Genomic DNA, 26,703 nt, shown 5'->3' with positions numbered 1-26,703 from the left:
TTTCATGTGTCTTTTCATTTTTAATCTCAGTTAATCATCCAAAAGAGGCTTCCTGACGGAGAGAACAGAAGATGCCTTTTGGAGCCCGAGAGGCTTGAAGCCAGGCTGTGTGACCTTCAGCAATCATTTCACTTCTCTGAGCTCCAATATCCTCATCTGTAAAATGGGGACATCAGCCCTTACCGGGCAGGGATTATGAGAGATAACATGCTTGTCAATCAATCAAGGAAGGGTTGAGTTCAGTTGAGAGACCCGAGCAGGAAGGGACACATTCCTATGCTTCCTCTAAGAACTGGTACCTTTGCTTCCGGCTAAAAAAACACAAACAAAACAGAGTGTGTTAAATCAGGGCTTGGTGCCGTTGCAAGTGACGCTGTAGTGAAATGGGAAGAAGCCCACCCTCGGTAAGGATCCTAAGGCCTCTGCCAACAGGAGGAAGACGCGTCCTTCCTGTTCCTGAGGGAAATGAAAGGCTGAAGCCAAAGCTATCTTCCAAAGCCCGCAGACAGGTAGCTCTCCGGCTGACCTTTGCCAGGCTGGTAAGCCTCACAGTTTCATTGTTCCACCCGGGCTGGGGAGCTGGTTGGTGGAGTTGGCTTAGAGAAGGATATTTTGTATCTGGCTTTTGGAATGACTAATGAATGAGCTGTCTCCACTGCAGGAGAATTATGCCACTTAAGCAAAACCCAGCCGGGCTGGTCGGCTCTGAGATAGCTAATAGGAAATGCCTGTCAGAGCACTGACGCTTCAAAGCCAAATATATTCTCACTGTGTTCTCTGTTTGCTAAGTTTACTTTATGCAAAATATAACTCAGCTGAAAATATGTAGATGGCAGAGTGCTCGCTCCTTCTCTCTGGAAGAAATTGCAAAGATGGGGAGGAGAGCAGTTCGCAGTTAACTCTACCAGTCCTGCCAGGCTGAGGAACAGCCGGTCCCAGAGATCTACTCGCTAGAATGTCTGTGCCTCTGATGGGTCCATAGCAACTGCAGTCTTCAAAATAGAGGCAACTGCCCTCCTGCCACATTTCCAGACAATGGGAATACAGGGAGCGTGGCACTGGCAATCACAAACAACCCGTCTGTCAACTTGCCCAGTGTTGCAGGGGCCAATAAGGCCATGTGGGGACAATTGAATTTTTGACCTGTTTAGTGGCCTTGCCCACCAATACCCACCTCTCATCGGTGAGGCACAACATCCTCCAACCAAGAAGCAACCAAAACAGTCAGTGACTCCTGTAACCCCTGGATGGAGCAATAGCCAGGTGGATGCTGAAGCAATGTAATCTATGAGAAGAGCACTGGATAGGGAGTCAGGGGAGCTGGGTTCTGGTCCTTCTTCTGCCTCTTCCTCTGCGACCTTGCAGGAAAGGTCTTCAGGCCTTGGCTTCACCATCTATAAATGGAGAGATTGGACCAGCTTGGCAATTTCTAGTGTCACATGACCCTAACATTCCGTATTATACACAACAGAATGGAGGCAGGAGTGAGGCAACTGCACCCCATTCTCAATTCCCTGACGCTCTCCCTCTCTCAAGAATTGCCATAAGGTGCTGGGCATAAAGACAGGATCATCTTTATAGAGATTTCTCAATACCCAAAGTGGAAAAGATCCCCCGAGGCCATGACCGTGGAATGAGCATGTTGCAGATCCCTTGCTGAGGAGGAGCAAAGAGACAGGAACTCCTGCAGCCTTTGACCTGGAAACATCCTGATTCCCATAAGGCCACAGTCACCAGGCAGCCTGCTGGCAGCTCATTCTTCTTCCCAAACACCCTCCCTGCATAAAAGGTCTGGCCTCCTTTATGGAAGGCATTTGGGTTTTACTCCTCTGGGACAGAAGTGGTGAGGGCTGGGCCTAAGGAGCTGTGTGGGCTTCTCAGAAGGACCTGGAGAATAACCATGGAACACCTAAGTGTGTGATGCAGAGTAGGGATGAAAATATGCATTAGACATGAAGAGCTCCCTGTTTTGTTGCAAGATGAGAACATATAGAGGAGGCTGGGCACGGTGGCTCATGCCTGTAATCCCACCACTTTGGGAGGCCGAAGGGGGTGGATCACAAGGTCAGGAGTTTGAAACCAGCCTGGCCAACATGGTGAAACCCCGTCTCTACTAAAAAAACAAAAATTAGCCGGGCGTGATAGCAGGCACCTGTTATCCCAGCTACTCGGGAGGCTGAGGCAGGATAATGGCTTGAACCCGGGAGGCAGAGGTTGCAGTGAGCCAAGATTGAGCCACTGCACTCCAGTCTGGGGGACAGAGTGAGACTCCAACTCCAAAAAAAAAAAAAAAAAAAAACCAATATATAGAGGAAACAAAGAATGTTGTAGGGTAAATCACTTGACACTGACATTGCTTTTTAAGCACATTAGAAGTTCAGAGAGGTAACGCCCTTGGGCCAGTTGCTGAATCTCTGAGCCTCAGTCCTCATCTATAAAATGGGGATGATGATGACTTCCCGTCACTACAGAGACAATGTATATAGAATGCCTCACACACCACCCAGCACATTTTAATCACTCAATAAAAAGAAGCTATTAATATTTTTATAGTCAAGGCTTAGAGGAGAGCTTCTCAACAGAATGGGTTCCAGGTGAGCAGAGACCTGACCCATCCCTTTAGCCCTTGGGGCTTGGCCTGGGGTGTCTGGACCCCCTAGCTGGCCCTTCTCAGGCTGCCAGCAGTTCCTGCAGTGTGTCACACAGACAGTATCCATTCCTTCGTGTGCAAAGAACATTGGGAAGCCCTGACTTAGAGACCTCCAAGTAGGCTTCAAAACCTACAAGGCCGACCAGGCATGGTGGCTCAGGCCTATAATCCCAGCACTTTGGGAGGCTGAGGTGGGTGTATCACCTGAGGTCAGGAGTTCGAGACCAGCCTGGCCAACATGGCAAAACCCCATCTCTACTAAAAATACAAAAATTAGCCGGGTGTGGTGGTGCGCCCCTGTAATCCCAGCTACTTGGGAGGCTGAGGCAGGAGAATTGCTTGAACCCAGAAGGTGGAGATTGCAGCAAGCCGAGATTGTGCCACTGCACTCCAGCCGGGGCAACAGAGCAAGACTCTGTCTCAAAAAACAAAACAAAACCTACAAGGCCTTTAGTGAGGTGGGCAGCATGGAGGGGCTTCTGCTGCCCTAATAGGAATCAAGGAAAACAGCAAAAACCAACCACAAAGAGTGAGAGATGGCGGGCCTGAGAGTCAGGGGACAGCTGGGAGGTCTCAGTGCCCTATACAATGTCTTGCACATAGACTCCCAGCACATATTATTAGGTGAGTCATTGATTCTGCTTTATGGGGAGCAGAGTCCAAGTTGAGAGATGTTGAGGGAAAAGGCTGGAAAATGTCCACTCAAGTGGGGTGAGACCAGGCAAGGGTCATGAGGCAGGGCTTGGGGCTTGTGGGGACATGCTGAGGCTTAGGGGCTTGTGCTGCTCAGGGGTCAGAGGAAGACAAGAGACAGGAGTCAGTGCAGACACTCAGGCAGGCATCAGATGGCAGAACAGGGTGGAACGCAGGCATTCTGGTCAGCAAGCAGCCGGGGGCCGCAGGAAGCATGAGCTCTAGTGCTGAGGAGGCATTGAGCCAGGCTCAGCCATAGAGACTGGTCTCAGAAGGGGGGTACCAGGGCTGTCACTGGTGGATAGAAGTGAGGGAGCTACATGAAGCCCAAGAAGCCAGGGAGAGGTGCTGACACTCGCTTAGCCCACCTTAGAGAGCTGTGCAGGGATTAGAGCAGGTAGCAGCCCAACCAGCTGGCGGATGGTGGTGGAAAGAATCACACGAAAACCTCTCCACGCACATGGCGACCGCCACAGACACCGGAGGGCAGGGTTGGGGACCGGAGGAAGCTGGGCCAGAGAAACTGATTTGGCTGCCGCGTGGCCAAGCACAGCACTAGAGGGGCACAGAAGTGTGCTCCGTTCAGGTGGGGCTGGGAGGCTGGCCCATCAGGCAGGTGGGGTGGAGCCAATGGGAGGTCAGTAGCAGGAAGGCAGCTACAACCTGGTTCTGGGTGGCTGGACCCCAGCTAGAAGCAGGGTTCCCAAAGGGGAGTAGACGACGATCAGAGTCCAGCCCTTGTCAGACACCCTTAGAAGGAGTAGTATAGCACACGGGTTTCAGTCTCAGACAAGCCTGGTTTGAATCCTGTTCCCCCACTTCAGCAGTTGTACAACACTGGCGGTAACACTTAACTTCTCGGTTTCCTTATCTGCAAAGCGGAGAGAATCCTAGCACCTACTTCACAGGGATGAAGGTTAAATCAGGCCATTTGTGGAGCTTCTGGTATAGATGGATGCTCACAAAATTGTACCTATTCTAACCATGATGATTAGCTCCTGAGATTGTCAGGTCCCCAGAAATCAGGAGGGCTTCCCAGGTTAGATGGGTAGAACACGGCAGAAGCCCAGCCCGTGTGAGAAGGAAACATCACAAAGGCTGCGACCACAGAGAAGCCCCTGTTCAAATCCCTGTGAGTCCTTAGCAAGTGACGTAATCCCTTCAAGCCTCAGTTTCCTCTCCTATAAAATGGAGATACTACTGTCTGCCTTTGGGGTTGTCGTGATGGTTAAATGAGATAATGTATATGAAGAGTCCAATCCAGTAAGAGCTTAGTGAAAAGCTACTCTGTGGACTAGGATGATACAGGAGGGAGGTGAGTGAGGATGGGACCCCGGGGGTAAGTGGGGGCCCAGGGCTTACCCTCTGTACTCCAGATCCCAGACCTCTCACAGCAGGGATACTTTCTCCCTGCAGAAGCAGATGCAGCCAGAGATAAGGGGGCTCCACAGGAATGCACTCTGCAAACGCACTCACATACTTTCTGATAGGATTCCTCCTACCTGGATGGAATTGACTCAGGAACCAGGTAAGCCACATCTGATGGTGGAGACAGCTTGTGGCTGTAGCTGGGAAGGGAGAAGAGAAAGAATAAGGGGGATGTTGTTGGGGGGGCGCTGGTGGAAGAAAGATATTTCCATTGACTCTGTAAGTAAGTAATTACTTGTGCACTTTCTACAGGCCAAGCCCTATAGATACCAGGGTGAACAAGACTGTCATGGTCTCTGTACCCTCAAAACTGAGCCCAGCAGGGGAGCCTAGTACGGGAGCAATGAAAGGGGAGCTTTGGGGCTGGGCACGGTGGCTTACGCCTGTAATCCCAGCACTTTGGGAAGCCAAGGCAGGCAGATCACTTGAGGTCAGGAGTTTGAGACTAGCCTGGACCAACATGGTGAAACCCCATCTCCACTAAAAATACAAAAGTTAGCCAGGCATGGTGGCATGCACCTGTAGTCCCAGCTACTGGGGAGGCTGAGGCAGGAGAATCACTTGAAGCCAGGAGGCAGAGGTTGCAGTGAGCCAAGATCAAGTCACTGCATTCCAGCCTGGGGGACAGAGTGAGACTCCATCTCAAAAAAAAATAATAAAAATAAAAATAAAAAAAATAATGAATGAAAGGGGAACTTTGGGGAGATGATTCAGTGACCACATTCTGGCTGGAATGAGGCAGGGCTCATGCAGGTGGGAATGTGTGCTGTGATCAGGTGAGACGGGGTGAAAGCAGCTGAGGATGTAGGCTGTGTCACCTAGTGGAGAGAGCACTGTGTGTCACCAGACAGACCCCACGTCATCGCAGCTCTACCTCTTACTAGCTATTTGGTTCTAGACAAGTTAGCTTTGGGGGACTTCAGTTCCCTCCTCTGTAAGATGAGACTGCTAGTACCTGCCTCACGGGGTTGTTGGTGACTATTAAATTAGGTGATAAATAGAAATCTGGCCTCTTAGTAAGTATTCAGCACATGAGGGCTATGGTTAATAAGAACATTAATCACAAGGAGAATCTAGGTGACCACTGGAAAGCATAAATGAGGACTTGGGAAATATTTTAGTTGATAACTGGGCAACTCTAATGTGTTGAGTATCTTTTGCGGGTATAGGAGAGGTTTGGACTGGAGCAGGGTGGGGAGTGGCTCCTCAAGAAGAAGGACCCCCAGGTCAGCTCAAGCAAGGGGATAAGGTTCAGCTGAGGAAGAAAGCACTTGCAGCCAGTGTCTAGGTTAAACATTTCCACCTTTACTTTCTCCAAGACGCGTCCCGGAAGGGCAGTCGGAAGGATGGCCTAGATCCCCAGAGCCAGCTTTGGGCTTGACCTGGCCAAACTCTGAGAGAAAGATCCTGGACCAAAAGTATAGTGTGAAAAGGAAATGGCTGCTCAATCACCATCTTTCTTTTTGTAGCCAGAACAAACTCTCAATAAACATGTTACCTTTGGCTTTTTAAAGTGGCAGTCCCATTGGAAGCAAAGGACTTACAAGACAAGGTCCTCGACAGGAACAAAAGAGTCACCCCCACCAACGCTCTTGCCAGAAATGAGCTGAAATTCTTGGAGAAGTCTCGGAGCCAAAATTCTCAGGGAGAAGTCCCAGAAGACTGCCCATCAGGCGAGGAAATGTAGGGAAAATGTAATGTGTAAAATGATGAGCTGGAGAACCATCAACGAGACTGCACTGAGCTATGTCTTAATGAGGCGAACTCCAAAGACGCTTTTCCTTTAATCTGGCATTTGAAACGAAACACTGCTAAGACGCCCCCACCTCACCCACCCCACCCTCATGCGTTGCCATGACTACTCAAGTTCTTAGACCATGAAAGAACAACCTCAGCATTTTCCTCTGCAACAAAAGAAAATTATTCCAGGTTTCTAGGTAAAGAACTCCAAGGAATGGGACCTGTTACTGGATAGCAGGTTCTTCAGAATTGCTAGGGATGAAATCTGAGCCTACAGGGACCACAGCTGTCTGAAAAGCCAGTGGAAGGAAACTGAGGGTGACAGGGCCCCCACTCTCACCCAAGCTCACACAGCCCATGCTCTGTCACCATGGCTGGTTCCCTCCCCTCAGCTGGACCTCATTTGCTCCTGCAATGAAGCAAGTTAAAAGAAAACACATCCCCTGTCCATATGGGAAGGGGCAGGGGGTGGGAGAGAGCAGGTCCCGGCTCAGTAGGTCCCAGGGTGGCAGCAAAAGGTGACTTCGCCTGCTCTCTAGTTTGGCGTGCTCTCGAGACAACCAAGGGAGGCCAACCTGTGGCATGGCTAGGAAGCCCCTCCAAGACCCCCTTGAAAGCCTGAGGTCCTGCTAATGAGGGCCAATCTAAGCTTTCTCCCAAATCCAGAAAGCAAAATCGAGGAAGCAACAGCTGGACAGGCAACCTGCTCCCTCACGCTCCCTCCTGAGCCTGAGCTTCAAGTGGAAACCCAGACACTGCTCTCGACGTCTCCCTTTCCTTCATCCTCCACATTCAATCCTTCATCGCCTTTTGAGACTACTTCCTAAACATTTCTCAAATCAATCCACCTCTTTCTCCATCGCCATTGTCTTGGTTCAGGCCTCACCATCTCTAGTCTGAAGTGTTCCTCCAGACCACGTCCACACTAGGGCGAGAGTGATCATTTCAGAACACAAATCTGATCAGGTCACCTCCTGCCAAAAATGCTTCAGTGGCTCCCATCGCCTTTGGGATAAATTTTCACATTCGTTAGAAAGACATGCAAGGCCTTTCATGATGGACGCCCCCATTCCTACTCACTCTACTCCAGACATAAAGAAAACATTTCCCCAACTTACACATTCTTGTGTAAGAATGGGGCCTTCACAAATTGTTCTCCTCTTCTTAGAAAGGCCTTCCCTGACCCAGCATGCTGGATATCTTCTGCTTACCACGCCAGATCCACTCTCCAGCCTGCTCTGTGCCCCAAAGTCTGCCCTGTATAGATCACATCAATCAGCTCCAGTGCCCTCTGGCTCCTGGTTGGGTTTGGCCAATGGGGACCACCAGCAAGAGTTTGGAAGACAGGAAAGAATGAGGTCAAGGCAATTGATTCCCTCCTTGTAAGGTTGCATCAGGCTGGCTGATTCCCTAGAGGGAAGCTGACCTGAATGACACGACTCTCCCTCTTTCCAGGGTACAGGCTGCCCCTCTCCCATGTCTTCTGGCCTAGGGGTGGAAACAGCTCTGCTGCCACTGACCCTGAGTTTCTGTACTATCTTGTGTTGTTCTCCCACACTCTGCCTAAACCTTTGCAAATAACCTCTTTGTGCATAAACCCTCATCAAATCATCCTAACTTAAGGGGGCCTGTTCCCTTTTAGGACCCTGACCAATGCACTCATCCTTTGCCTTTGCCAAATCATAGCCATTCCTTGGGACTACACTCAGGCATCCCCTCCTCCAGGAAAGCTTCCCTATTCACCCCAGGCTGGTTCAGCTGCCCTTCCCCGTGGGCTCCCAGAGCTTCTGTATGCTCCTGTTGCAGCTCTTCCCACACTACTGCAAAAGCCAGTCATTTGTACTAAATCTGAGTCTGCAGAGGGTGACTGAAGTTGAGTATCTTTTGTGGGTCTGAGGGGAAGGTTTGGAATGGGGTAGAGTGAGGAGTCTGGCTTCTGCTGAGGGATGGCCCCCCAAGTCACCTCCAGGAAGGGTATATGGTTTAGTTGAGGAAGAAAGCACCTGAGATCAGTGTGGGATGGGACAATGTGTCGTTGCTCATCCCTGCACCCCAGAATCTGGCACAAAGCAGGCCTTCAGAAAACATTTGCTGAGTGAAGGAAAGAAAAAGTTGTAGCTCAGAGTGAGACCCTGCCAGAGACCCACGGGGAAAAAGTGCAGCATCCCTTTGTGGTTGTCAGTTGTAGGAGCTGGTGTTCCTCAGACCAGGACACAGGGGGTCAGTCAGATCACAGACCAAAGGGCCAGAGGAAAGGCTGTTATTTGAAGAAGACCCCCGCCGGGAGCGGTGGCTCACACCTGTAATCCCAGCACTTTGGGAGGCCGAGGCAGGCGGATCATGAGGTCAGGAGATCGAGACCATCCTGGATAACACGGTGAAACCCCATCTCTACTAAAAATACAAAAAATTAGCCAGATGTGGTGGTGGGCACCTGTAGTCCCAGCTACTCGGGAGGCTGAGGCAGGAGAATGGCATGAACCCGGGAGGAGGAGCTTGCAGTGAGCCGAGATCGCACCACTGCACTCCAACCTGGGTGACAGAGCAAGACACTGTCTCAGAAAAAATAAAAAAATAAAAAATAATAAAAATAATACAATAAAAAAGACCCCCAACTCCAGGACATGAAAACCATGTCCGTGTGCATGGGGAGAGGGCAAGGGAGATGTGCTGATCGGTTTCAACAGCTGGGCTTCCTGAGGAAAAGGAGTGAACAGCCTCCCTCAGCCTGCGGGGACACAGTGGAAGTGTTCCTCCTTGTCCTTGAGCTGAGAGCCCTGCGAACCCCGGCATCAACCCCAGGGAAACTCACATAAGTTTGCTGAAATCAATTATTAAAAGCCCAGGGGCTCTTCCAAAGGACCCAGCAGTACTCTCCCCGATACGTTACCAAATCATTCATTCATTCTTTCAGCAAAATTTATGGGGATCTGCTCTTTGCAAAATTCTTCCCTTTTATTTATTCTGTTAAAATTCTATCCAAAAGGGAAAAGTCATTTTTTTCCTTCCAGTCAGTGTCCCCAGTGGACCCTGCAAGAAGCCTAGCAGGGGCCGGGCGCAGTGGCTCACGCCTGTAATCCCACCACTTCGGGAGGCCGAGGCGGGCGGATCACCCGAGGTCAGGAGTTCAAGACCAGGCTGGCCAACAGGGCGAAACCCCTTCTCTACTAAAAATACAAAAATTAGCCGGGTGTGGTGACGCGTGCCTGTAATCCCAGCTACTTAGGAGGCTGAGGTAGGAGAATCACTTGAACCTGGAAGGCAGAAGTTGCAGTGAGCCGAGATTGCGCCACTGTACTCCAGCCCGGGCAACAGAGTGAGAGTCCATCAAAAAAAAAAAAAAAAAAAAGGAAGGCTAACAGGGGCAGAGGGTGGGCTTCCAGGTAGAAAGGCCCTGCGGCACCTGGACAAATCATGGAAGATTGGGCAGACATGGTGGGTGGAAGGTGGAATAGTGAACTGGTATAGCAAGAGGGCTCTAGAGCTCTAGCTCCCCGCTTTTCTAGATATGTGGCCTTAGGCAAGTTACCTCATGTCTCTGTTACTCGGCTTCCTCCAATGCAGAATGGTGATCATAATAGGACCTAGTGAAATGAATTTGCTGTGAAAATGAGATAAAATCAAATATTCTCCATGAGGTCACCTAGAGCAGTGGGTCCCAAACCCTATCAGACCCAGTGCTCCCGTTTTTACATCAAATATTTTGTAAGTCCACCTTGACTATTCCGAAATGAAATTTATAGATGATACAACCCACCTATGCAGATATTTTTTAGAAAATCAATATACCACCCTAACTATAAGATAATGAACAAAAAGGAAAATAACTCAGAATAAACGAATACACATTGTGATCTAGAAATGCCTGGGCATAACTACACTAGAAGAGATAATGTAGTCAAAGGATTGCACTTATTTGTAATAAATGAGTTTGAATGTAAGAGAGGTAAAATAATATTTACTGGAACATTATGGGTACTTCTTTATATTTGGTGTTCTGAAACAAGACTAAATAAGTATTATACAGTCATACAGATATGTAGAATCATTACTCATTTATAAATGCAGATGAATAGAGGTGTGTTGTTTTGACAACTCAAATACTATGAACATATTACTGTTGGTATTGTGGTTTTCTGAAATGGTAAACAACTCCTGGGAAAGATAAAATACAGTGTTCTTTCCATTTATATGATGGTAGCATTCATTAAAAATTCAGTGAATATTAAAATTTTACCACAGGGCCGGGCGCGGTGGCTCACACCTATAATCCCAGCACTTTGGGAGGCCCAGTCGGGCGGATCACTTAAGGTCAGGAGTTCAAGGCCAGCCTGGCCAACATGGTGAAACAAAAATACAAAAAAATTAGCTGGGCGTGGTGGCAGGCATATGTAATCCCAGCTACTAGGGAGGCTGAGGCAGGAGAATGGCTTGAACCCAGCAGGTGGAGGTTGAGGTGACCAGAGATCATGCCACTGCACTCCAGCCTGGGCGACAGCGAGTCTCTGTCTCAAAAAATAAATAAATAAATAAACAAAATTGTACAAAAGTACTTTGTGTTTATATACAAATTAGAATTAGGTTCTAGGCTCAGACCAATATGAAGAGGTTTTCTACCTACATGAGTATCTGGTGGGGCATTCAAATGTCAGGAGACGTGCGGGAGAAATCTTCATCATACAAGACTGCCTTGCCTAGGGCAGGGAGTCTGGCTGCCCTCTGACTCCACCTCAGTAGTGCCCCCAACCAATGTAACAAACACCACACGTTTCTAAAGTGCCTCTAGGGGGCAGCACTATCCCCATTGACGATTAGTGGGCCAGAGTTTATGGGGTTATCCAATAGGTAGCCTACCAAGGAATGCAGGATGACAGGCATACAATCTCCAGAAATGCAGAGCAGACAGTCAGCGTTAGGGAACTCTATCAGCACTTCACATTCCGACTCTGCTGTTTTGCTGTGTTCTGCTACGTTTTTGTTTGGTAGGGGCCATAGGGCAAGGCCATTCCCCAGTGGACAGCGGATGAGATCTCTCCTGAAGAGAGTGAAGAAGAAATCAGCACCAAAACAGACAGAGCTGTCGCACAGACTTCCAAGTTAAAAAAAAAAAAAAAGTCTCTCCAAACTGATACACCCTTGTATTTTTCTTCCCTGGACGATTATTGGGAGCTCTTTGAAAAGAATATCATCAGCATTCTTTGCAAATAACCCTCAGTTTGCTCACCTCTTGCTCCACTGTGAACATCACAGAGTATTTCACAAGGTTGTAACATTTCGCCTCTCAACTGAATGTATCTAAAGAAAAGCCACTGTCTTTTGCGGATATAAAACCGCACTTCTAGCAAGACTGGTCAAGGCACTGGGGTGAGGTAGTAAGCTAGTGTTTGCCCACCCCATTCCTTCTTGATGCAGCCTTAATGATCAAAAAACCTCACTTGAATCTGAGGTTTATTTACCACCAAAAGGAGCAATCATTTCTAATCATCCCAGGAAGAGACAGATCCTCAAACAGAACTCTGGGATTCAGATGGTGGCACCAGACCCAAGGGGAACTCTCATTTCCTTCTCAGCTTCATTCTTTATTTAGTGGGTCCATCTGAACTTTCAAGAGCACAGCTGTCCCAGCTTCTGCCCCGAGGCCAGGGCTGGTGCCATGGCACTGACCACGCGGAGGCAGCCCCCACACTGGTGAAGGCAGGCCCTGAGCCCTCACAATCAAGTCGTATCTTGTAAACCAGATTTTATAGGCTCATGTTACTCTCTCTGTTTATTTCTGTTGTTCTCCCCAACCTGTGGTAAAGGCTGGTCTGAGGAATCCAGCCTGGTCTCAGCTACCCTGTGTGTGTTGAAGGGTGGGGATGATGGGTGAGAAATCTCAAGGGGAAATTCTAGTCACTCCTCTCCACACAGAGACTCTCCCTTTATTGCTAAGCTTGCAGGAATGGGCTTTAATTCATTAGAAAAGGTGGCGACTTTTCCTCCACAGGATCTGGTGGAGCCAGGGAGGCCCTAGTTTTAGATGAACCAGGTAAGACACCAGGAAGGGGTCTCAAGCCCATGGGCTAAGCCCCCTGGCAGGTTATTAGAATTTGAGAATAGCATGAAGGCTGACTTGGTAGCAAGGAGCTGTGATGTTGGTGCCCAATTTGTAGGCTGCAGGGAGCACATTTTGTATCTATTTGCCAGGAGACAAAGTGGGCCCACCAATAGTTGATGGGGGTAAGTGTACCTTTCAGAGATAGTGGCTCCGTCCACAGATAGAATGGATCCAGCAAAGTTGGGAACCAAGCAGGCTGGACACATGTCACCTACTGTATCAGTCCATTTTCACCCTGATAATAAAGACATACCTGAGACTGGGTAATGTATAAAGAAAAAGAGACTCACAGTTCCATATAGCTGGGGAGGCCTCACAGTCATGGCGGAAGGTAAAAGGCACATCTTACGTGGTGGCAGGCAAGAGAGAATGAGAGCCAAATGGAAGAGGAAACCCCTTATAAAAGCATCAGATCTCATGAGACTGATTCACTACCATGAGACCCGTATGGGGGAAACCTCCCCCATGATTCAGTTATCTCCCACTGGGTTCCTCCCACAACACATGGGAATTATGGGAGCCACAATTCAAGTTGAGATTTGGGTGGGGACACAGCCAAACTATATCACCTACATACGTTTTTGAGGACAGAGAAGGAGCCAAGAGAAAAAGAGAACAAATACGCAAATAAACAAAATAGAAATAAAAACTAAAGGTGTTTTCTCAAGATTTATTTCTCATTATCTTCCACTCTCCTCAGGAGTCAAAGTCAGCATGGTCCCAGGAAGCCCCTAGAGGCAGGGGAAGCTGCATCAGGACGGGGACTAAAACAGCTCCATCTTAAAGAGAAACTGACATCATCTCCGAAAGCCCTGAGGAACGTGCTCTTACACAGACCTGAGTGTTGGGGCCGCTCACTTTAGCAAGCACAGCAGCAGCCTAAACATCGCTGACACCTCCACCATCTGGCCTTTGGCTCCACAGAGCTGCTACCCCAACTTGGGGCACACTTTGGGAGAGAACCAGAGGGAAAAACCTCTCAGTAGTAAATGTGGATCTCACAAAGCCTGTGCGCGCGAGCAATGGTTCTCAGCCCTGCGTGCACTTTAGAATCACCCGCGGAGTTTTTAAACACCCCCATGCCTGGACCCCACCACCAGAGGTTCTGATTTAATTGATCTGGAGTAGGACCCAGGCATGGATATGTTTTCAAAGCTCCCCAGGTGATTCTAATGTACAGCCAGAGATGAGAACCACCACGTTATACAATAGGAGAGGCCCTCAGGCTCTCACTCAGATCCCAGTTACTCTTAATTTATATATACTTCGAACAATCCTGTTGTCTGGTTTTCTAGCTGTTATAAGATTAAAAGCAGTGCTTTTAGAAGGGGAGAGAAAGGCTGTTAATGAAAAGACACTAAAAGCAGCAAGACAGAACACATGGAAGTCTGATCACAGGGTAAAGATAGAAAACCTATAAAAAGCAAGCACAGCATCCAACCTCTCCCCACTCCAGCATATCCTATTTACAGTCAAGGCCTGAGGGCTCACTTGATGGGGAGGAGGGAGCATGATGGCTGCAGTGTGAAGGGCAAGTGATAAATATTGACTGTCCGTGATGTGAAAGGCGTGTGTAGACAGTTGCTACAAACGTTAGCTCATTTAATTCTCATTACAGCCCTGTAAGTATTATTATCCCATTTTATAGGTGAAGATACCAAGACACAGGGAGGATCCTTGGTTTGCTCAAAGTTGCACCAGCAGTGAGCTGCAAAGCTGGATTTGAATGTCAAATGTCAATCCGTTTGATTCAAAAGCTCACATCTGTTAGAAAGTGCCACATCTGCCTGTTAAGCTGATATTTCTGCCTGTTAAGCTGGTATTTCTAATGATGACCCAAAGTCTAGAGCTGCGTTACCTTCAGTGTCCAGCTGTTCAAGATGTTCACTTTAGGAATAGTTACACACACACACACACACACACACACACACACACACACACAAATACGTGCTTTTTAACAGTGATGAAAGAATTGAGTACCCATCTGGGAAATAAATAAATAAATAAATAATACACGTTATTTCCCAGCTCACGCCATTTGTCAAAATGAATACCAGATGGATAAAGAAGGAAATGAAATCATAAAGGTACTAGAAGAAAATATGAGTGAATATTTTATAATCTTAGGATGGGGAAGGACTTTCTAAACATGTCAACAAAAGTAGAAACCATAGAGGAAAAGATTAATAGATTTGACTACAAAAAAAATCAAAAACTTCTGTACATCAAAACCCACCATAAATTGAAACAATATTCAGCCTCACTAACATTCAAAGGAAAGAAAATTAAAACGGCAATAAGAGACCTTTTTTTGCTGATCAGATTGGCAATGATTAAAAAGAATTATCATACTGAAGAGCTGGCGCGGGTGGGGGAATTTGCACTCACTCACGGTTGGAGGGGGTGTAAACTGGTATAAAGGCATTTTGGCAATATGTATGAAAAAAGCCTAAGAAGGCACATATCTTTGACCCAGAAATTCCATGTATAAAAATGGAAAGGACAGGATTGATTCACTATACACACAAATGCATATGTGCAAGGATTTTATTCACTGATACACTGTTTGGAATATTGAAAAACCGGAAGCAACCTGAAAGTTTAACAAAAATAAATTAGTCAAATAAATTATGCTACACATAAAAAGCAATACTATATAGCTATCAAAAATGGTGCTGTATAGACAGACCGATGGAACAGACTAGAAAGCACAGAAACAGACCCAAGGAAATATGAGAATTTGGTCTTTGAAAAATATCAAATCAGTGAGACAAAGATAGATTTTTAAATAAATCGTATTTGGCTAACTGGAAAAAGATAGAAGCTGGATCAATATTTCTCACAGTACGCCAGGATAAATTTCAGCTGGACCAGAGATATAAATGTGGAAAATAAAACCATAAAATTGCCAGAATAATAATAGAACTCTTTTATAATCTTGGAGCAGTGAAGACCTTTCTGATTCAAAAATCAAGAAGTCATGAAATAAAAGACTGAAAAATACATCTACATAAAAATCTTAAAACTCCTGCATGGCAAAAACCCCATGAGCAAAGTAGAAAAATAAATGGTTAACTGAAAAAAAAATTACAACTCATTTCACAAAAGGCTAATCACTCTAATACATATTTGTTTCTATAAATCAAAACCAATATCCCAATAAAAAGGTACCCATTTTCAGAAAAAAAACACAAATGGCTTTTAAGCATATGAAAGAATGTTCAACCTCATCTATAATAACAGGAGAGCAAATTATATAGGAATTGCAATGATATACTCACTTTTCACCTATCAGATTTGCACATATCCAAAATATACTCACTCGCTAATGTTGTAGGGAAACAGATACCCTCATTCTTTGCTGGCAGGAGTGCAACATGGTACACCCTTATGAAGGGCAATTTGGTATTTTCTATTGATGTTACTGCTAATCTATTTTCCCCTTGATTCATCAGTCCTACTCTCAGAATTTTTCCTGCAAATATATTTGCATATGGACAGAAATGACATATGTACATATTATAGAATTAAGTATAATAGCAGACTATCAGAAATATTTCAAATGTCCAATTATATGGGTTGGTTAGATATTATGATCCATCCATACCATGAAATACCAGGAAGCTCTCTATATACTGATATGAGAAGTCTCCACTACATGCCATGAAATTTTTTTGGTTATATATGTTTTTGTTTTGTTTTGTTTTGTTTTTTTGAGACAGAGTCTCGCTCTGTCTCCCAGGCTGGAGTACAGTGACCCAATCTCGGCTCACTGCAAGCTCCGCCTCCCATGTTCATGCCATTCTCCTGTCTCAGCCTCCCAAGTAGCTGGGACTACAGGTGTCTGCCACCAGGCCCAGCTAATTTTTTGTATTTTTAGTAAAGACGGGGTTTCACCATGTTAGCCAGGATGGTCTCGATCTCCTGACCTCATGATCCGGCCGCCTCGGCCTCCCAAAGTGCTGAGATTACAGGCGTGAGCCACTGTGTCCGGCCTTGTTTTGTTTTTTTAAGGAAGGTGCCAGAGGGGAGGGATGAACAGGTGGAAACGGGGGATTTTTAGGGCAGTGAAAATACTCTGTATGATTCTATAGTGGTGGATATATGTCATGATACATTTGTCCAAACTCACAGAATAAAAAACACCAAGAGTGAACCCTAATGTAAAATATGGTCTTTGGTGATAATGACGCCAATGTAGGTTTATCAACTGTAACAAATGTATTAATTGTATATTAATCCCCCACCAGTTGATACATTTGTTACAATTGACACATTTAACAAATGTAATACATTTGTTACAAAAGTTGACACATTTTTTACAATCAATACATTTAACAAACGTATTACAACTGATACATTATTATTTATTATACATTTGTTAATACATTTAACAAATGTATTACATTTGTTACAATTAATACATTTAACAAATGTATTAACATTGATACATCATTATTTATTATACATTTATTATTGTTACAATTGATACTTTTTAACAAATGTATCAATTGTAACAAATGTATCAACTGGTGGGGGATGTTGATAAGTGAAGGAGGCTATGCATGTGTGCAGACAGGATACATATGGGAAGTCTCTGAATCTTGCTCTCAATTTTGCTGTGAAACTAAAACTGCTAAAAAGTAATAGTCTCTACAAAAAACAAAAACAAAAAAAGTAAGGGGCCCAATAGCGTATACAGTGTGTTATCTTCCGTGTAAGAAAGGATAGGGAATATATATTTGCATTTGCTTGTAACTAGGAAAAGCAGTGACCTATGGGAAGGGAAGGCAGAGAACCAAGTGAATGGGGATGTGTGGGAACGTATGCTTTTTAATGTTGTTTTGATTTTTGAACTGTGTAAAAGCATTTTCTATTTTTAAAATAAAATTAATACATAATGGTACAGGTTCATTTGTGTTGACATAGAAAGATTTTCAAAATCAATTTAGTGCATAAAGTAGGTCACAATTATATGTAGAATAATCCCAATTTTAAAAAATATATCATACTTATATGGTCCTACTCATCTATATTGGGAAATAGGAAAGACTAGAAAGATACAGTCTAAAATATTAGTAGTGGTTATCTTTAGTTGGTGGGATTTAGGGTTATTTCATTTTAATTATTTTTCCTTTTATCTGTATTTTCTAATGTTAATACAAATTATGTTTTATTTTTATAATTATGAAAATAAAGAGGAAAAAACTTATCTCAAACAAGTCCCAAGGAAAAATGAATAATCCAGGAAAGATATTTGCAACATGACAAAAAATTTCATATCTTTACTATTTAAAGAACTCCTGCAAAAAATAAGAAAAAGAAGAACGGTCCAGGAAAAACTCAAATAAACAACAGGATGAGTGTTAGACACTTATACAATGTATTATTAGAAAGCAGTAAAATGATAATATTGAACACTATTTAATGACAAGGATGGTCATTATCTATTAAGAAAAAGCAGGCTAGAAAATAGTATTGTTTTAATAAAAATATATTTATACCAGACTTACAGACTTTATTCAATGTATCTATTTATGTATAGATATAAACACATGCACACAATTAAATCTGTGAGGGTAGGCACTGAAAGGTATATAGCTATGATTTCTGAATGGTAACATTTCAGGTGTTTAATTTTTTTCTTGCCTTAACTTACATTTTTCAGCAATAAAATGATTACTTGTATAAGAGAAAATATTTATAATATTGCTGTGTGAAAAATTTTGCCACAAATAAGTTCCTCACATTGTATTTAAGAATGAAAAACTGAAAACAAACTAAATCTATAACAATAGGCATTAAAGGTGACATGGCATCCATGGGCAACTTCAGTCACAAATAATTACCTTATAGGAAAATATTAATTAGAGTGAAAGTTTCAAGGTATGTGAAGAAATATATGTTATTCATATACAAAGCCACAGTATACATGCAGTGTACACAAAATGACTCCATTAAAAAATAAAATTGTATGTGCTTAGAAAAATTGGAGGAGGACACCCACCAATGTATTTGTTTACTGTAGTTACCCCTGCATGGTGGAATTATAGGTGTTTTTCTGTTTTTGTTTTTTTCTTTTTGATGGTCAAGATTTTCTCAGTTTTCTACAATAAATAGTATCTTCTAAAAATTAGGAAAAAAAAGCACTAAGTTATTTCGTAATGCTTTAAAAGCAAAGATGATTCAAGAAACAAATTACGAACTACATAAGAACTGGCTCCTCCAGAAAGACCCATATGAGTTAGGGATTTTGACTAATTGAGGTGGGCTATCTCCATCTACTGATGACAAGCAGAAGTCAAGCACGACCTTGGTCCTCAGCTGGGATGCTTATCCCCCCTTCCTCCTTCCCTTGAGTCTCTCTTGACCATAAGGTGTTGGCCACCACACTAGGTAAAACAAAACTGCCCACCAGTGTGTGAAGGCTGGATGCAGCAACAAGGCAGTGGTCCTCAAGAATCGCTGGTCCAGCCACTCACCTTCCAGCAGGTAAGTTAACAGACCTGTTGGGCCAGAAGGTGGTTGGAGGGCAGCATCGTTGATGAAGAGGCCAGGGCACGAAGGTTATCTGCAAAACTTGTTCCTGGCCCAGAACCTCCTTTCACTGCTTCTGCTACAACCTCCTTGGCCATCTTAGTGTTACTGCCGAGTTTGTTAAAAGAAAGGAGCTGCCGGGCTTGGTGGCTCATGCTTCTAATCCCAGCACTTTGGGAGGCTGAGATAGGCAGATCACCTGAGGTCACGAGTTTAAGACCAGCCTGACCAATATGGCGAAACCTCGTCTCTACTAAAAATACAAAAATTAGTTGGGCATGGTGGCACACGCCTGTAGTCCCAGCTACTTGGGAGGCTGAGGCAGGAGAATCACTTGAACCCAGGAGGTGGAGGTTGCAGTGAGCTGAGATGGTGCCATTGCACTCCAGTCTGGGCGACAAGAGTGAAACTCCATCTCCAAACATAATAAAATAAAATAAAGGAGCAGCTACAAGGTGGGTGTCTCTCAGGCAGCCCCCTCCAAAAGTGCCAGGGCAAAGAGGTGAGCTCTGAGACCCAGGCAGCCCCCAGGCCCTTTATGTCTCTGGAGAGTTTATTGCAACAGCCTCCTAACTGGCCTCTTGCCCTCAATCCCCGCCCTGCCCAAACTATCTTCCAGGCCCCTGCCTCCCATCTTGAAATACAGCTATCGATTTTATTCCTGGGATCAAAACAGTTTGTGTAAAATCAGCGCTTCTCAATCTTTACCACTGAAGCGCACCAACAGTAGACAAAAGAAATGCCTTATGCTCCCCCAGGGTGCTGCAGAGCCTGAAGCTCCTGCCAGCACACCCAAACTCTCTTTGAAGTCTCCTGTTTTCTCTTAAAAATTCATGAGAATTTTGCATTCTACTCCATGATATATCTGAATTTCTTTTAATATGAAGATGTTTAAAATTATTCACCTCAAGGAAAACTGATGTTCCCGAAAGAAATACTGTATTTATCTGGAGGCTTCAAGTATCCTCCTTGGAGAATTATCTACAGGATAAAGTCCAAACTCCTGACAAGCAAGGCTCTTTAAAATTTGGCCTTCACAAACCTTTCTGCTTTTCTCCTCCTCCACCTCTGCACACACTCCAGTGTCTGGGCCACCTGGACTCTTGTCATTTCCTGATATGCCAGCTTCTTCCCAGTCCCTGTGTGTGTTTTTGCTTCCTTTGGGACCACACTCCCTGCCTGTTGACAACCCACTATTCCTAAAGGCCTCAAGGGGGATCAAACACCACCTCTCACAGGAAACCTCTGATCGCCCAAGACAGATACGATGTGAGAGATGCCGTGAAAATAGCCTGTGTTTTGGAATCAGAAGGCTGGTGTTCATCCTGTCTCCAACTATTGACAGTGGAAACATTACCTAACTTCTCTCAGATTTCATTTGTAAAATGGGGAATAGTTATGCTTCCCTCAAAGGGCTGTTCTAGGGATTAAATAAGGTTCAAGCAATTTTGCAGTGCCCAGCGTATACTCCCTTCCACCCCTCCAAATTCCCACAACACTTTATTGATACCACTGATGTCAAGAGCAGACATTTACGTAGTCGTTCTTTTTACAACAGCTTATTTCCCCTAACTAGATCAGTGGTTCCCAATGTCCCAAAAAGCTTCTTGTATTACCCCCATGGTCCCACAGCTTGAAAGATTTTGGTTATTAAATCAAACACATTTATGAAATAATAGCCTGCTTTTCTCAGTTCTTGATCCTAGTAAGCTTTCTGAACATTGAGAGCGCTGCCAGCCTTTCCTCTCATACCTAACTCTAGGGACTTGGAGTTGGGAGCCACCCACCAAGATCATAAACGCCTTGAATCTGCAGCCCTGTCTCCACACTTCCCATAGCACCTTACTCAGCGCCTTGTGCTTAAAACACACCTAGTAACTGCTTGTGGCATAAACAAGAAGTTTCACACACATGACAGAGGGAGAAGCCCTCTCCAAATGAGCTGGTTGGTGTGCAGAAAGGGGTCATTGTTAAAGGAGGCAGAGCTGGAGGCGAGCCCTTCTCCCTCCATCCACCCGGAGCAGCACCCCCAATTACACCAGCTGGCCTCCAACTTCTGTGTGTGAGCCGATTAAAAAGCACCCTCTCTTCAGTGTCTGGAAACTCCTGCAAGGAAAGTTTGCTGCCCAAAGTTGGCTTTTGACTAGAGTCTTAATAAGAGGCCTCAGCAGGCTGTGGTTAGAGAGACAATGTCACTTAGAGGAGCAGCTTGAAGCGGCAGTTAGGAGAAGAATTATTTTAATGAATACATTTCCTTTCAATTGTATGGGAATATCAAGATCCCATTAGAATGGGGAAGCAATTAGAACTAATAAAGATGAATGCACAGTGCTCTGTGCGTGCGGAATAACAAGCAGCCCACAAAGGGGCTCCAGAGAGGCCGCTGTAATCCAAGCAAACTGGCGGCCAGCAGAGGGGAAACGGCTCTGTTCAGCCGCTCAAAGCCCCTGCGTCCTGCACATTCTGATCACGGCCTGCGAATGGCGTGAGGTGGGCCTTCGAGGTGGGGGTTGGGCCCCCCGCCCTTGCCCAGCCTCTTGGGGATTGAGATGGGCTGTTGGCAGCCCCTTGGCAACAGCCATTCAGACCAGGGCCCTGGCTCCTGGCCAGGCTCTCGCCCGCCCCTTGCACTGGGCCTCATTGTGTCCAGGTGGCAAATGCCTTCTCGCCAACTCTCCTTCGAGGTTTAGAGAGGGGGTGGGACAGTGGAAGAGGGAGAAGGGGATGAATGAGTAGGGGGCCCTCTGCCCCCTGCCATTCCCCCTCCCCCGCTGGCCAGGGTCTGCTCCTCCTCTGGGTTTGGTGTTATATTACAGACACTGGTGAGTCACTGGCAGCCAAACACAGAAGTACTGTTGCTTACACAATTACTCTTCAAAAAGTAACAAACAATTTTCATTACCCAAGTCAGATCGAATCATTCGCCTGGCCATCCTGCCTCAATCCCAGCCCCATAGACGGGACCCAAAGCCTCACACTCTGCCCATTCTGCTCTGACAAAACCAGCTTCAATTTGTCCCGGCCTAGGGATAGGGACAGAGCTCTTCCTCTGATCCCTGTTTGGAGCCAGATCAGCTGCACGGCTGTCAAGACTGTCAGGAGAAATAGGGAAGACACAAGCACCCACGCAGCCTGGAGACCATCAGATCTGGGGTGACATGTTACTGAGCACCTGTGTGAAGAAGGCATTCAAGAGTTTGGAGGACTCTATTGCCAAGTTTAGAAGGAATCCAACAAGATAACCCTGGCTCTGCACCAAAGTATTCACTGGCCTCAAATGGAGTGTCAGTACTTGACATTTCTTTATTTAATCTTTTTTGGCCAGACAGTTTTTTCAATGAGGAATGTGTAAGCTATTCCGAAATGTCTGTCTAAGAGGCCAGTCACCCTCATTACTGGGATTTTTCCACCATATCTCTTTTAGAAAAGGGTCTGTAACATTTTATATTTATTTCTTAATGGTGGAGCACTTTAAACGCATATTTACATGTATAATCTTGATTGAACTTCAAAATAACTCTGTAAGGATGGGCAAAGCAAGGGTTGTTGGGGCCTAAAGATGAGGAAAAGGTGGCTCAGAGAGGTTCAGCACCCTGTGCAAGGTCACAGAATGGGCGAGTACTGACCTGGTTCAGCACTTTGTCCCAGGAAACCTCCTCCGCGTCTCCACAGAGTGCTGGGCATTTCAGGACAGCTCAGCTGCAATTCTGCTTTTCCAGTGGAACATCCTTCTCTCTTCCACGTATGAAACTTTACGAAGCACTGTGGGCTTTTGAAGACTCTAGTCTAGGCTAAGAAGGATCCTCTCTCAAGAAGATTCCAACCCAATAGTCATTAAAGCATATGTTTCGTCATCTCCCAAACCAAAGGCATATATCTTTTGTCCCTTTTAAAAGTTTAGGTAAGGAATGTGTTAAAAGTCTGCCTGTTGCCGGAAATGGTGGCTCATGCCGGTAATCCCAGCACTTTGGGAGGCCGAGGCAGGCGGATCACGAGGTCAGGAGATCGTGACCATCCTGGCTAACACGGTGAAACCCCATCTCTACTAAAAAAAAAAATACAAAAAATTAGCTGCATGGTGGCAGACGCCTGTAGTCCCAGCTACTCGGGAGGCTGAGGCAGGAGAATGGCGTGAACGTGGGAGACGGAGCTTGCAGTGAGCCGAGATGCGCCACTGCACTCCAGCCTGGGCGACAGAGTGAGACTTCGTCTCAAAAAAAAAAAAAAAAAAAAAAAAAAATTCTGTGTGTCCGGTTACATGGTGGACATAACAAAAAAAAAAATGGGAAAAATTATTGTTTGCATTCCTTCCACTGTAACATGGTAACATCTAGCGATCGGCAAGTGGTAATGCAGAGTCCATTCACCTTTCTTACTCCTCGCCTCCTCCCATACCTAAAGGGCTGTTCATTTTTTAAAATCCTTTTTTATTTTTATAAATTTTGAGGTATGATTCATACACTATGAAATGCATACCTGGCTGGGCATGGTGGCTTACACCTGTAATCCCAGCATTTTGGGAGGCTGAGGCAGGCAGATCACTTGAGGTCAGGAGTTTGAGACCAGCTTGGCCAACATGGTGAAACCCCGTCTCTGTTAAAAATACAAAAATCAGCCAGGTGTGGTGGCAGGTGCCTGTAATCCCAGCTACTTGGAAGGCTGAGGCAAGAGAAGCACTTGAACCTGGAGGCAAGGGTTGCAGTGGCAGGGGTTGCAGTGAGCTGAGATTGTGCCATTGCACCACTCCAGCCTGGGTAACAGAGTGAGACCCTGTCGCAAAGAAAAGAAAAGAAAAGAAAAGAAATGCATAGCTATTAAGCGTACAGTTTCACAAGTTTTGACAAATGTATACCTACATCCAAATCAAGACACAGAACGTTGCCATCACCACTGAAAGTTCCTGGATACCCCTTTCCAGTCAACACCACCCCAGGCCTCCACTGTCCTAATTTCTATCACCATAGATTAGCTTATCCTGCCTCGAACATCAGATAAATGGAATCATATTATACGTATAATCTTTTGTATCTTTCATCTGTCACTCAACATATCTGCCAGACTCATTCACATTGTGTCAGTAGTTTGTTCCTTCTTATGAGTAGTATCGTCATTTATTCAGTTCTTAAAATCCAGCCCTATTACCACAGATTTGTCCCTCAAAATTCTTTTCATTTAATATATCTTCTGCATGCTCCTTTCCGTGCATGTATCTCCTGCATATCTCCCTGGCAATCCTTGTAGTGAGGAAAATATGTAAGTGGACTATTTTATCTCTAGCACTGTCCTTTTAGGTATGGGTGGCTCTCTCTACCTTCAGGAAAAACAGATAACCAGGCAGTCTTGCTTCAGAGTTTACAGATCTGGGTTTTCATTTCTTGTCTAGCACTTAACAGATGGGTGGTTCAGGGCAGGTGATTTAACCTCTCTGTGACTGTTTTCCCATTTGTAAATGTGGATAATAATACCTTCTTAATAGGGATTTGTGAGGACAAAATTATATTGTACATAGAATGTTTGGCACAATGAAAACTAATAATAGCCTCAAGCTAGGCTATAATAAACATCCTCTCCTGCTTCATTCACATACTTCCAGGTTTGTAAGTCATATGATACAAGTGGGTATAAATTTTCAAAAGTTTTTAAAAGGAAGATTTCATATTTAGATTTAGAAAAGTCTATCAGATATTTACTTAAAATAAGTAACTGTTATTTCCTAGGGAAAAAAGTAAAGCCTTCTGTCATTTATTCATTGGCAATTATATATCGAGTATTGACTAAGAGAAGCTCTTCAAAAGAGTTAAAAACATAGCCCTAGCTTTTAGGATGTTTGGTTTGGGGAGGGTAATAAGATAAGCACAACAAATTATAATACAAAATATAGTAAATGATAATAATAATAATTAACATCTATGAATGTAGTGGTTAAGAGCACAGTCTCTGGAGTCATACTATATGGGTTCACATCCCAGCTGTGTGATGTTGGGCAAGTTACTTAACCTCCTTGTGTGTAACCTCACCTGGAAAATGGGGCTAATACCACTTACCTAGCAGGGCTACAGTATCAGAAAAAAGTGGCCCAGGGTGTTTGAGCATCCTGTACAAGGTCACAGAATGGGTGAGTACTGACCCGGTTCAGTGCTATGTCCCAGGACACCTCCTCCGCATCTCCACAGAGTGCTAGGCATTCCAGGACAGTTCATCTTGCAATTCTAATATTGTATATTGCATATAAAAATATGCATTAATTAACAGCTAACATGTATTGAATATCAATATGTGCCAAGCACTGTGTTAAATGCTTATGTGCATTACTTCACATAATCTCCACAATGCTGTTACTACTATTATACTCATTTTACTGATAAGGTAACAGAAGGGCAGAAGTTTAGGTAACTTGCCCAAGATTACATAGCTAGTAAGTAGCAAACTGTGTCACAGAAAAGATACAATCATCTATAAAATGGGGATGATGGTATTAGTACCTACATTAGTGAGAATCTGATGAATTAATATTTGAAAAGTGATTAGAACGGAGCCTGGCACCTAATAAAGCCTATATATGTGGATGTTAACAATTGCTAAGGTGATTCAGAGATGACAGTAAATAACTTCTATGCGTGGTGACTAAGGAAGGCTTGGGAAGGTGATGTTTAAACTGGGCCCTGAATAGTGGACAGGATTTGGAGAAATGGAGGTGATAGAGAGGGCATTTCTGACAGGGAAGGAAGGGAGGGAGGGAGGGAAGAAGGAAGGAAGGAAGGAAGGAAAGAAGGAAGGAAGGAAGGAAGGAAAGAAGGAAGGAAGGAAGGCAGGAAGGGAAGGAGGGAAGGGAGGGAGGAAGGAAGGAAGGAGGGAAGGAAAGAAGGAAGGAAGGAGCAAGAAGCAGAAGAAAGCTCAGAGTGTGTAAAAAGAGAAAAAGAAAAGAAATACATGGGAGTAGTCAAATTTGACTTGCGCAAAAAAAAAAAAAAAAAAGAACAAACTTCCCCTTTCTTCCAACCAGTCCCTATTCCTGCTGTACTTCTCAGTATTTTCCTCTTATCCCCATGGAATCTGCTGTCCTTACTCCCTCATCATAATGATCCATTGAATATTTATTGAGTTCCTCTCCGTGTCAGGCACTGCTCTAGGCACCGAGGATACAACCCAGTAAATAGGCCGGGTCCCAGTTCCTAGTTTGCACTATAATAATCCTCCAAACTGGATTCTAGCTTTTAGCCGGCCGAACTCCAATCTATCTTCCACAATACCGCCAGAACCGAAGACACAGATCTGGTCTGGACACTCACTTGCTTAAATCCCGCTGCAGTATTTTCTCTTTACGTCCAGAATAAATTTCAGTCTCCCTAGCATCCTTTACTAATTGGTTCGCACAGTCTTACCTCGCAGCCTTCACCGTGCACTCTGCACAAGAGCCCCGGTAAAGCACTGAAAATCCCAGATACACACACTCACAAATAGGCACTTGCAGAAAGAACGTGGGGGGCACTCCATCCCTATTTCATCTCTTGTACACCGAAACATTCCCCAGTCTGCATGCCTTGGATGGGAGAGTCCT

At 45.0% G+C, this 26,703-nt stretch overlaps 1 long non-coding RNA gene across 1 annotated transcript; it reads right to left on the bottom strand.

Annotated features, from left to right (window-relative positions):
* Positions 1 to 26,703, bottom strand: LOC107986163 (uncharacterized). Its single transcript, NR_160768.1, has 5 exons — positions 26,528 to 26,703; positions 22,772 to 23,915; positions 4,846 to 4,911; positions 1,175 to 1,394; positions 1 to 311 (listed from the first exon to the last, which is right to left on the bottom strand). It is a non-coding gene; the product is annotated as an uncharacterized LOC107986163 (long non-coding RNA).

Source organism: Homo sapiens, chromosome 3, assembly GCF_000001405.40.
Source record: "Homo sapiens chromosome 3, GRCh38.p14 Primary Assembly".
Taxonomy (NCBI): domain Eukaryota; kingdom Metazoa; phylum Chordata; class Mammalia; order Primates; family Hominidae; genus Homo; species Homo sapiens.
This window is presented reverse-complemented; position numbering and strand designations above follow the sequence as displayed.